Raw genomic sequence first — 13255 nt, 5'->3', positions numbered from 1 at the left:
TTCTCCTGCCTCAGCCTCCTGAGTAGCTGGGACTACAGGCACCTGCCACCACGCCCAGCTAATTTTTGTATTTTTAGTAGAGACAGGGTTTCACCATGTTGGTTAGGCTGGTCTTGAACTCCTGACCTCATGATCCTCCCGACCCGGCCTCCCATAGTGCCGAGATTACAGGCATGAGCCACTGCACCCGGCCAACATTTTCCTTTTTAAATCTAGTTACTTCACTGAGAAACAAGCACTAATAGTGTTCCTTTTCATTACGATACACAAATTAGATTTTTCTTTATCAGTAAGTGTCACTTGGTTTCCTCTGAGCACTCTGGAAACCTCATAGAGGGCTGGCTGTCTTAGCGTGGTCAAGGATAATGTCACGGCCCTGCTGATGGTAGTGTGGTGCATGTAGATTATGCATATAATAAGGGGTTGATTGAAGGTTCCCTTCACTGTCTTTCATTTTGCTTCCACATGACTTACATTCTTTGTTCAACTTTAAAATCAAAGTGGCTAATTGAATTTCTTAATCTTTACAGACTTTATTTAGCTTACCACTTTTCTGTTTGTACATTAGGAATGGTACTTGGCATTTTTGTTAGTTAAAATTATGTATTGGCCTGGCTGCCATACCAAAATACCATAGAGCAAGTGGCTTAAACAACAGAAATGTATTTTCTCTCAGTTCTAGTCTGAAAGTCTGAGATCAGGATGCCAGCATTGCTGGGTTCTGGTGAGGGCCCTCTACCTGGCTTGCAGACTTGCCTCCTTGCTGTTCCTTGTGTGGCAGAGCAAGAGCTCTGGTGTCTCTTCCTATTAGGACGCTCTTCCCATTACACTCTCCCCACCTCCCTATCCTGTAACCTCATCTGAACCTAATTACCTTCCAAAGGGCCCATCTTCAAATACCATCACATTGGGGGTTGGGGCTTCAACATATGAATTTTGGTGGGGGGAGACGCAATTCATTCCACAACAATCCAAGACTGTGAGTTTCAAAATGAGTACCACTGTGGAGACATAAGAGATGGGGAGAGGCTTGATGGGGTTCACGCTTCCCTGTTCCAACCAGAACAGTTTCCCTTTTTTTCCTGCTTAACTTTATACACTGTCATTTGTGGAAAGAGTTTTGTGGGTAGAAAATCTGTCTAAGAATGCTGAGTTGACTGCGGTGATTTGGTTCCCCTTTTCATGGCAGAGCTGGGGTTCTCTTCTTCCTGACGACCAACCAGTGTTTCAGCAGTGTTTCAGCCGTGGAACTCTTTGTGGTAGAGAAGAAGCTCTTCATGTGAGTAGGTCTTTGTTCTGGGAACGGGGCTGTCCAGCAGCAGGGGCTATTGGTTAGACTGATTACATCTGGGGTTGGGGCCAAGGATGGGATCCGGAGGATTACCAGTACTTTTTAAAATTTATTTTTAAATTGATGAATAAAAATTGTATATATTGATCATATACAACATGATGTTTTGAAAATATGTATAGGGGTTACCAATATTCATTGAGAAAAAGCAGCCAGAGGTAGGGAAGAAAATCCTGAGCCTTTGGGACCTGATATCCAGAGAAAAGAGTTTTTCTAGATTTGAGTACAGTCAGAAAATCCAAATGTTGGAGAGAGCAAGCAATAAAGGGACTGAAAAGTATATTTTGTTTTTAGTAAATACTGATGACCTTCACAAGAAAAGTTTGAGGGGCTTGGTAGAGATTAAGCAGCAACTTGGAAGTGGGGAGATTAAGTCGACAAAGAACGTGACCATGCTTAGCCCTCGGTGGACCAGGGAAGTGGCACGAGCCGGAAGGCATTCTTACAGTAAAGAGCAGCCTGGTTTAATTTATTGTATTTTCCTATTTATTTATTTATTTATTTTTTGGAGACAGGGTCTTGCTTTGTCGCCCAGGCTGGAGTCCAGAGACATGATCATGGCTCATTGCTGCCTTGACCTGCGGGGCTTACGCAGTCCTCCCATCTCGGCCTCCTGAGTAACTGGCATGCCTAGCTTTTTTTTTTTTTTTTGACATAGAGTCTCGCTCGCTCTGTCTCCCAGGCTGGAGTGCAATGGTGCAATCTTGGCTCACTGCAATCTCTACCTCCCGGGTTCAAGCGATTCTCCTCCCTCAGCCTCCCAAGTAGCTGGGATTACAGGTGCCCGCCACCACACCCAGCTAATTTTTTTGGTATTTTTAGTAGAGATGGGGTTTCGCCATGTTGGCCAGGCTGGTCTCAAACTCCTGACCTCAGGTGATCCACCCCCTTTGGCCGCCCAAAGCACTGGGATTACAGGCGTGAGCCACTGCACCGGGGCGCCTGGCTGTTTTTTTTTTTTTTTTTAATTTTTTTGTAGAGAGAAGGTCTCACTATGTTTCCCAGGCTGGGTATTTTTCAAGGATGGATCACATTTTCCCAAATGTACATGTCACATATAGGAATTATTAGAAAGGGAAATAATGAAGGAAGTGGAAGAGTTTGGAATTGTGGGAGAAAGATGTCAGGAAGAGGAAAGATTACAATTTGGTAGTTGACAGGGATGTATGGCTGGAAGACATGATCATTGAAAGAAGAAGTCTTTTTCTTTTTTTAACTTGGGAGTAGAAGAAGTAAGAAGAGCTTAGTCATCTGAAGCTGCACTAGGGGGCTTGGAGAATAACAGGCCACCTTCCTCATCAGAAATAGGGAAAAAGAAAAGCTTCTATTCCTGCCAAAATCGGCTACTGAAGTGCTGTTCTTCAAGGAAAGCCCCCGTCAAAGAAGGAAAAGAAGCATTCTTTGAAGAGAGGGAGGATGTGTGGAATCTGTTTCCCTGGACTGAGTGTTCAGGAGCTAGAAAGAGCAGCAATAGGAGGGAACAGTGTCATGAGAAGAGGGGCTGTGCGCAGAGCTTCATGGGATGCTTTCTCAGGGAGGCTGGCACCCAAGGTATTCATGGGCATGCATAGTGGGTCTAGCCCTGAGGATGTGGGAAGCTGGCTTGTTCAACCCCTGCTGTCAGCAGAGGTCTGTAACAGACAAGTCTAGCCTGCCCTGTGGCTTCTTAAACTAATCTTGGATGTATGATACGTATTTTTGTTCTATAGACATGAATACATCAGCGGATACTACAGAGTGTCATCTTATTTCCTTGGAAAACTGTTATCTGATTTATTACCCATGAGGATGTTACCAAGTATTATATTTACCTGTATAGTGTACTTCATGTTAGGTAAGTATGTAACAAAACAAAAAAGGACATGTCTTTAGTCTTGCCTATGGGTGAAGTCAGTTGCACCTTGCAAGCATATTTTTGGTTCTCAAAACTATAAACCAAACCATGAGATAAGGAAACACCTGTCCATTTTGCACTCTCTGAAACAGTTGTTCACTGTCAGCTATTTTTGTCAAGACTGTTTCCCAACTGAACTTTTTTGTTTGTTTGCTTTGTTTCGCTTTTTTGAGACAGGGTCTTGCTCTGTCACCCAGGCTGGAGTGCAGTGGTGATCATATCTCACTGCAGCCTCAACCTCCTGGGCTCCAGTGATCCTCCTACCTCAGCCTCTGGGTAGCTAGGACTACCGGCACACAGAAAGATGGAGTTTTTGGTAAAGATTGGGTCTCACTGTGTTGCCCATGCTGGTCTTATACTCCTGGCCTCAAGTAGTCCTCCTACCTCAGCCTCCCAAAGTGCTGGGATTATAGGAATGAGCGGATGTGCCCAGCCTGAACTTTTAAAACCACTTATAAAACTACACTTTACTGAGAGATGCTTGTGTTATACACAAACATGGAAAGAATTTATAAAACTTTGAGACTATGCTGGAGAAGCTGGGATATTTATAGCCTATCTATGTTTTCTATCTGTCTATCTATCTATCTATCTATCTATCTATCTATCTATCTATCTCTCCCTGTCTCTCTCTATATATGTATATATATATACACACACACACTTAGAGATATATAGAATGATTAAATATATTTAATCTCTTAGAGATACATAAAATGATTAAATATATATATATGTATTTATTTAATATATATTACCCATCCCTGCTTCTTTAATGAGAGAAAGACGGTGCCTTTTGGGGCTTGTTAATTAAAAAAAAAATACTTGTTTGGTAGATGTGGAGACTCATTTGTGCATTATGCTCAGGCTTCACTCCAGGCTCCTTGCATCTGATTTCCATATATTTCACTGATAAACACATGCACACACACAAAACCCCCGGAAATATCTATTTTGACACTACAAGATAAGAACTACCGATTGAGTTTAAACCTTCCATTTGACAAATAATAGGTGTGTCCTAAACAATCAGGGTTAGGATCTAGATCTCCAGACTCCTGATTGTTGTTCTTGTGGCTGTTTCAAATCTTCAGATTGTATTACCTGTAGTATTAGCTCACTACAGTTTAGAAAGCAGTTTATGAAACGTAATTTAGTCTCATTTCAATCCAGAGTGATGTGGTGATCTGTCTGGGGAGGCTTGGGTTATGGAGGCCCCCTCCCCCTCCCCCAGATACTACAACCACTGTGAGGTCATGGCATCCCGATCGTCCCAGTCCCTTCACTCACAAAGTTACAGCACACAATGAGTAATGTGAGGATGTATGGGCAAATGAATGTGCTATTGATGAGTTTCCTGTGAAAAGAGAAGGCAGTTGAATTTTGGTTAGTTGTACTGCCTGTAGCTCTTCATCTCAGGAACTCAGAAATTGTCTGTAATTATACATAATGGCACATAAGTGTTATAAGAGAACTTTATGCAGTTACATGGACAGACACAACATTGGAGACCGAGGGTGGTTGGAGAGTGGATGACTTTTTTTCATTCTAATATTAGTTTCTCAAAATATTAGTGTTAAATTTGCACAATAAGCAATCCCAAACATACGGTGACCTAGGCAGTTGGGTTAACTACTTCTTCTCTTTCTGACTAAGGATTGAAGCCAAAGGCAGATGCCTTCTTCGTTATGATGTTTACCCTTATGATGGTGGCTTATTCAGCCAGTTCCATGGCACTGGCCATAGCAGCAGGTCAGAGTGTGGTTTCTGTAGCAACACTTCTCATGACCATCTGTTTTGTGTTTATGATGGTGAGTCTGAACTGTGTTTGCTCTGATAAGGAATTGTTTTTTTCCTTCATTTCTTCCTGCACATTCACTTGTCATGTAAAACCTGTTTTGAGGATTCTGTAAATGGGGCTCTGCTTTACTTAAGGCCATCTACTGGAATAGATTATGTTAGAGAATATACTAACTTTCCTCTTTGCCCTTATCCAACCTTTTTTGCTACTGTTCTAATGAAGTTCCAATAATTTTAGTTAATATTGTTACTAATGAGCTTTTAAAAGGCGTTTCTTTGTGACCTATTATGAAACCTTAATAAATTGGAATTTCAAAAATCAGAAGACATTTGATCGGCAGATTCTCTTGAGAATTACAGATTATTTGCCCGACTTTCATGCTGGCATTAGAGAACTGCTAGTTTATTTTTTTTTTAACATTTTTAATTTATGTTTTAAAGTTCCCACATACAGCATTGAACTGCTAGCTTGTTTACCCACCAGCAGAGATAGTTTGGTTGGATTTATAATACTGTTTTCCAAGACACATATTAAGCCTCATAAGAAGCAGAACAGAGTATGGTTTGAGTAGTCTATTTTGGTTCCCTCTCGTATTTTGAAAAAGAGTGTTTTAAAAATATTGGAAAATTGCAGAGTTCACACACTACTAAGTACCTCCTTTCTGGGTTTCGTTCCTGACATTCAATATGTTTCTGCTTATCTTTTTTTTTTTAATGGTTACTTAATCCTAATCTTACATGCCCCTAAATTTTGCACATAGAGGAATCAACAGGTGAATGAAACCAGTTACATTTTTTTCCCCTTCAACATCATACTTGACAGGAACATGTCCTGTCTGCTAGAGTAGGAGTAGATGCCTTTAAATAAAAATAATTAGCACAAACTCTTGCCATAGTTTAATTCTTCCATTTCTGGATTTGAAAACTACCAATGCAAACATTAATGAGGAAGTGATAGGCTTGTTTATATTTCCCATACTGTCATCCAGCAAATACAAATGTTTTGTTTGATTTATTATTATTTAAAGATTTCTACACAGAACATTAAAAACTAGTCATAAAACTGTATTTTACTCAGAGATGCTGTGTTATATGCTAAGCACTTGGTCAGGTCAAGTCTGAATATATATTGTCATACCAGCAACATCATCATTGTTATGCATATACCAGTATGCTTGTGGTGGCAATTAGTTCTCTTGTCAATCTTCAGCAGGTCTTCCTGGCATCTCCATTGCGCTATTGCTTTTTGGCAGCTTTAAATGATAGCACTGATCCTGCTTATGCTCTACCTCTCACTACATTATACTCTGTATCAGTTCTAGACTTTGGGTTATGTTAAGCCTGCATTCAGAACCTCATATCCTTGCTAAAGTCATATGGATATAGACTGCAAACCTTTGTAAATAACAAATCTTATGTGAGGTGCAGTGGGCATGTGACGCTCAGGATTTATCTGGTATAGATTCTTCCAATGCCAGGTGTATTGGTGAGCACACATAGTGGTTGTGTCATTAGAATAGTCAGTGCTTCTTGACCTTCCATTATTTGCAGTTACAAATAAAGTTGAGTACATAGTCTTGACAATTGAGGATCTTACGATTAAATGGAATATCTAATATGTATTAGATATTTTGTTCTTCCTTTAAAACCGTAAATGACTTCAGCTATATAGAGATGTGCACATGCAGAGGAGAAGAGTTTAGTGAGTGTCTTGAGTAAGTGGAGAGAACTTCAAGAAAGAGTTGGTTTTAAAAGAAATACTTACAAAGTGGTAGGGACTTGAAGAGGGTATTCTCTAGAATTCTGCATGAAATTACTCAAGCAGGCCTGACTTTTAGTATTTGCTTTTTGTAGATTTTTTCAGGTCTGTTGGTCAATCTCACAACCATTGCATCTTGGCTGTCATGGCTTCAGTACTTCAGCATTCCACGATATGGATTTACGGTATGTCTTCCTTGTCTGTCACTGTGACTGCATTCCCAAGCTAGGAACAATGGAAATCAAGTGTCCTCATCTCATTTCCCTGACCATGAGCTGTGAAAGTCTCCCATCCAGAAACTCCCTTTTAGGAGCAAGGAATGAGAATTTCCTGTTAGCCTTGGTTAACACAAGGCTGGGGAGTCATTTGCTATTTTCCTCAGTCATCCTTTAAAGGGCTAGGGGAGATACCTCCTAGTAAAGGAGAAAGATTGGCTAATTGATGAAAAACACATTGTTGCATTTCAGTTCAATAAGGAAGTAAATGAGAGGATGGGACACTAGAATACATATGTTTATAATGAAAGGAAAATTAGAAGAGCAAAGACCATATAATAAGCATAGTCATATTGGCTTTTGCAAGCTCATTAACTCCAAAGTAAACTATCTGTGTCTTAATATAGTATAACCAAGCTTCTAACATCCAAGAATTACAACTGGTTCTAATGAAAACAAACAAGAACGAAAGATTGTCACTGTAAATTAACAATACTCATTGAGCACCACTGTATCATTTTAATTAGAATGTTTATGGAGTTACAAAATTGGGGAGAGAAGGAGGAAGGAGCTATGGTGTAGTATAGCCAGAGGTCTCCCGCTTTGGCAAAATACTTTACTTCTTTTGTATTGGAAGCCAAAATCCCAACCCTAGGTTTCTTGATTGCCAGGGAAAATAACATTAGTTGGTTTGGTGAGACAAAGACTGTGAATATGTTTTTAGAAATAACAATAAAGATTAAACTCAGAGGGCATGATTGTGATAACTCTTTGGAAACTTCTTGAAATTTAAAACTGTTTACCTTGCCCTGCTCCCACTTGTGTTATAGGCTTTGCAGCATAATGAATTTTTGGGACAAAACTTCTGCCCAGGACTCAATGCAACAGGAAACAATCCTTGTAACTATGCAACGTAAGTTTTTGTTCAGTGTCAAAATGGGTTTTGTTACTACCATGGTGTGATGTATAAAGGCTACTGGGCTTAGATCTGTATGAGTCCTTCCAGGGGCACTGAATTTTTCCGAGCCTACGTTTTCTCATCCATAAAGTGAGTTGTGCGCGAATGCATGTGAACATGTGGCACAACCCCTCAGTATTCTGCTGCAGTAAAAATTGTCTTTAACATGCAGCAATGTTTCTTACGTTTGTTTCTTATTGTTTTGGGCCTTTTAAAAGATCCTTTTGATATTTTGATTGTGGGTTTGAATTCTTGGTTTTCAGAGCATTTGAGATTGAAGTGAGGTGCTTTGATATTTTATCAAGGGCTTATGGTTCCTGAACTGTATGGATTATATGAAATCTATGGGTCCCTGAACTCACGGATACTTCTGAGCCCAACCCACGGACAGTAGTAAGAATGAAATAGGCAGCAATAGCACAAAGAAAGTAAACATTTCCCTGCCAAGATCCTGGCACTTCCACTGCCTCATGCATTTGGAAGACATCATGAAATCAAAGGCCGCATAGTCATGTGTTGTTGTTTTTAAATTAACTTGGAATACTCCCTATCAATCGATTTATCCTCTAAAAAAACAAGAAACACTTGAATAAGTTGAGAAAAAAACCCCGTTTTCACATAATGTTAAAACAGATTCTAATAACACTGGATAATATTGTTTTAAGAATTTAGTAACACGTGCCTTTTCTATGATTGCTAATGGTTTGATTTTGATACATAAATTAATGAGAGAAAAGAGAATGTTGATATTATCCTCAATCTCCTGAATGTTCAAGTAGAATATAAATAATTCTGAATAACAGGACAAATTACTCTTTTGAATTGTCCACAGGAAATCCTCTGTACAGAGAGGTTTTCTTTATTCTGTCCCTCTCTTTTGGCTTGATCAGGGTGGTCAGGATGAAGTGGATGGGAAAAATGGGACCAGATAAGGAGGAACCACCATGGGCTTCATGGTAACGGAAGATGAGGCTTCATCCTCAGTAGACAAAGGAGGAAGATATTCCTTTTTTTTTTTTTTTTTTTTTGAAATGGAGTCTCGCTCTGTCACCGAGGCTGGAGTGCAGTGGCACGATGTCCGCTCACTGCAAGCTCCACCTCCCGGGTTGACGCCATTCTCCTGCCTCAGCCTCCTGAGTAGCTGGGATTACAGGTGCCCACCACCACACCTGGCTAATTTTTTGTATTTTTAGTAGAGATGGAGTTTCACCATGTTAGCCAGGATGGTCTCGTCTCCTGACCTCGTGATCCACCTGCCTTGGCCTCCCAAAGTGCTGGGATTACAGGCATGAGCCACTGCAGCCGGCCAGGAGGAAGCTATTCTTATAGTAAAAGAGAGGCTATGTATGTTTTTGGAATTGCTGAATTCCCAAGAGTTGCACAAAAATGGTATCAGGCAGTAACTGTGGCTGTCCAAGGTCTTTTTAGTACAAGATGATTTCCTAACCTGTGGCAAGGAGTTCATCCTACTCTACTCTAGCTGCCACTTAAGGCTTAAACCTGATAGCTGAGTCTGCTGGGAATGTCTTGTACCTGAGTATCTGTGATGCTCCTCACAGTCTTGGTGCAAGAGCTGACAGAACATGACTTTGGCAGGAAACCCATGCACACCTCTTTTCCTGGTTTTGGAATTCTTAACCTGTGTTGTTTTTTATGGCTATTTGTAAGCGTAAAGAGTACTGTAAGAGCTTTGATCATCTTAGTAAGGGTCACAGGTGTCATCTGTTTAAGCAGATATTTTCTTTATCAGGGATAAGGGAACTATTACTTGATAAATATTTCTGCCCTTTGGAGAGAGCAGCATTACAGATTTGGAAACCAATAAATTTGAGTAGGCTAAAAACTTGGTGATTCAAAGTATGACTCTGTAAACCTGGTCAAGTTCCTTAAACGTTAGTCCCCTCATCTTTTAAGTGTGTACAATGTCTATCACATTGGATTGTTTTAGGAATTAACTAAGTTAGGTCCATGTTGTTTGTTAGTGTCTAGCAAAATTGTAAACACACAATGACTGTTAGCTATGATATCTGAAGGGGTAATTATTAAAGGCTTGGTTCAATTTTAGGCTCCTTTAAGGAACAGTGGATATACTGAGTAACATTTGACGGATGCTAGGAATGAAGTTATATTCTTTTTCTGTTTAATTTCAGATGTACTGGCGAAGAATATTTGGTAAAGCAGGGCATCGATCTCTCACCCTGGGGCTTGTGGAAGAATCACGTGGCCTTGGCTTGTATGATTGTTATTTTCCTCACAATTGCCTACCTGAAATTGTTATTTCTTAAAAAATATTCTTAAATTTCCCCTTAATTCAGTATGATTTATCCTCACATAAAAAAGAAGCACTTTGATTGAAGTATTCAATCAAGTTTTTTTGTTGTTTTCTGTTCCCTTGCCATCACACTGTTGCACAGCAGCAATTGTTTTAAAGAGATACATTTTTAGAAATCACAACAAACTGAATTAAACATGAAAGAACCCAAGACATCATGTATCGCATATTAGTTAATCTCCTCAGACAGTAACCATGGGGAAGAAATCTGGTCTAATTTATTAATCTAAAAAAGGAGAATTGAATTCTGGAAACTCCTGACAAGTTATTACTGTCTCTGGCATTTGTTTCCTCATCTTTAAAATGAATAGGTAGGTTAGTAGCCCTTCAGTCTTAATACTTTATGATGCTATGGTTTGCCATTATTTAATAAATGACAAATGTATTAATGCTATACTGGAAATGTAAAATTGAAAATATGTTGGAAAAAAGATTCTGTCTTATAGGGTAAAAAAAGCCACCGTGATAGAAAAAAAATCTTTTTGATAAGCACATTAAAGTTAATAGAACTTACTGATATTCCTGTCTAGTGGTATAATATCTCAGGAATCTTGGCTGAGGGTTTGGAACTGTGGGTAGAGTAGAGGGCCAGGAGTCCAGTAATAGAATTCTTGCACCATTTCTGGAACATTCTAGCTCTGGGAGGTCACGTAACCTTCTTGGGGTAGTTCAGTGGTTTAGTGGTTTATAATCCAGGTGTGCGTCAGAATCATCTGAGGAACTTTGCTAAAATACAAAAATCTGGCCTAAGTAGCTCCAGATCTACCTTCATAAAGGAATCTGACCACTCCTGGATTTGGTAATTTCCAAGTTCTGAAAATTTTACTTAGGATTTAATAACTATTAACATCTGTCCCTACATAGGTTTTCTTTCCTACTTATATACCTTATGTTCTCTTCATTCTAACCTTCATCAGTAATAGGGAAATGTTTTAATTTTATTTTTTTAGTTGAAGGGTAATGTACCAAAAAATATAGTTCAGTGAATTAAAATGAACACACATGTGCAACCATCAATTCAGGTCAAGAAATAGAAGATTGTAGCACACAAAAGCCTACTCAGCCATTCTCCCAGTCACTACTTCCTTCCTTACCCCTGGGTTATTTTTGAAATGACACTTGATGTATTTCCCTCTGTTGCTGTTATGAGAACATTGCTACAGCCAAGTGTTGTGTTTCTGTGTGCATAGGTTGATACTTAATTATCTCCCCACTTTTTAATAAACTTTTAATTTGGAAATAATTTTAGATTGACAGAAAAGTTGCAAAGATAGTGAGGAAAGTTCCTGTCTACTCTTTGCTCAGCTTCCCTTAATGTTAACATTTTATATAGCAAGATGCATTTGTCAAAGCTAACAAGTTAACATTGGTACAATCACTGTTAATTAAACTGCACACAATATTCAGATTTCACCACTTTTCCACTAATATTCTTTCATTGTTCTAGGATTCAATTCAGGAGACCACATTTCATCTAGCCCTCTTTTTTAAAAGTAAATACTTTTCAGCACTTACAGGAGTTAACTGAGCTGGGGCATCATGGTGTATAGACGCCCTGACACTGGTCATCTTGGAATTCATTTAGTTTGTCAGTGGGTGCCCTGACATTCTGTCACAACATCAATTTGGGAACATGGCATTATATTTTTATCTTTGAACTTTTTTCTTTTTGGATGACATTTGATTAATGCGTCATCTTGGAACACATTATCTTTTTTCTTGGTTATGTGATCAGGAAGATTAATCAGTTTTTCCTGTTCTTGGTATAATTCCTGCTTTTCACATACCTGTCCCTTACAGTTCTCTATATATACCCTTCCCTTATTACACAGAGAGAAATATCTATCTATACTTTTTACACAAAATATACTTCAAAAGAAACAAAACAGCCACAATTATTAACTTTTTAAATAAATGAGAATTTAATTATATCCTATTTTATGTATTCTTTTTTTATATTAAAATTACCTTTATATGCTTTTGTTGTGGTAGGAACCAGATAACATAAAATTTACCATCTTAACCATTTTAAAATTAAGGACTTTTTTTTTTTTTTTTTTTTTGAGATAGAGTCTCGCTTTGTCGCCCAGGCTGTGGTGCAGTGGCGCGATCTCGGCTCACTGCAAGCTCCGCCTCCCGGGTTCATGCCATTCTCCTGCCTCAGCCTGTAATGGCTGGGACTACAGGCTCCCGCTACCACGCCCGGCTAATTTTTTTTTTTTTGTATTTTTAGTAGAGACAGGGTTTCACTGTGTTAGTCAGGATGGTCTCCATCTCCTGACCTCGTGATCCACCCGCTTCGGCCTCCCAAAGTGCTGGGATTACAGGCCTGAGCCAGCGCGCCTGGCCAGGAACTTTTTTTAAAGTATGGTTTATTTTCTTATAAAGTAGAAATGTACTTAAGGATATAGATATCCATATATATTATATGTACCCTATATATTATATATATTCTCTGTATTTTTATATCCTCTCTATATATTATATCCTATATATAATTTCTATCTATATAATTATATATATAATGTATATATAATTTATATCTTATATATGGGTATGTATATCCTTAAGTAAATTTCTACTTTATAAGAAAATAAACCACACTTTAAAAAAGTTCCTTAATTTTAAAATGGTTAAGATGGTAAATTTTATGTGCTCATTTTATGTTTTTTATATATATATATTCTTTTGATTTTATTTTCCTGGATGTCAGAACTAATCTATAATGGAGACGAATTAATGTGGTTTAACATAAAAGAAATCTCAGTTAAATGAATATAAGTTGCTATTTATACTGTTTATACTATAAATGTATACTATCTATATTGCTTTGCATTCTTTAGTGGCAATATATACTGTTTTATGATACCTCACTGTACTGTGTCTAAAGAACTTTTCTTTTGGATGTAGCAGTAGGATTATAACAGGTCATTGGCTTGACAACAC

The 13255-nt window shown here is 38.5% G+C and overlaps 1 protein-coding gene across 15 annotated transcripts in view; it reads left to right on the top strand.

Moving 5' to 3' along the window:
- ABCG2 (ATP binding cassette subfamily G member 2 (JR blood group)) overlaps positions 1-12245 on the top strand; it is a 141363-nt gene extending 129118 nt beyond the window's left edge. For 9 of the 15 annotated variants that reach the window (NM_001348989.2, NM_001441211.1, NM_001348986.2 and 6 more), the window contains 6 exons: positions 1190-1279; positions 3061-3185; positions 4902-5056; positions 6900-6989; positions 7850-7932; positions 10128-12240. In NM_001348989.2, coding sequence (NP_001335918.1) covers positions 1190-1279; positions 3061-3185; positions 4902-5056; positions 6900-6989; positions 7850-7932; positions 10128-10275 — 691 coding nt within the window. In that variant the 3' untranslated portion in view covers positions 10276-12240. Of the gene's footprint in view, positions 1-1189; positions 1280-3060; positions 3186-4901; positions 5057-6899; positions 6990-7849; positions 7933-10127 lie in introns of all 15 variants that reach the window. The other 6 variants (NM_001348985.1, XM_011532420.4, XM_017008852.3 and 3 more) reach the window with 2 other exon arrangements.

The sequence above is a fragment of the Homo sapiens genome, chromosome 4, assembly GCF_000001405.40.
Source record: "Homo sapiens chromosome 4, GRCh38.p14 Primary Assembly".
In the NCBI taxonomy this organism is placed as follows: domain Eukaryota; kingdom Metazoa; phylum Chordata; class Mammalia; order Primates; family Hominidae; genus Homo; species Homo sapiens.
The sequence above is the reverse complement of the archived record's forward strand: the minus strand, read 5'-3'. Positions and strand labels throughout refer to the sequence as shown.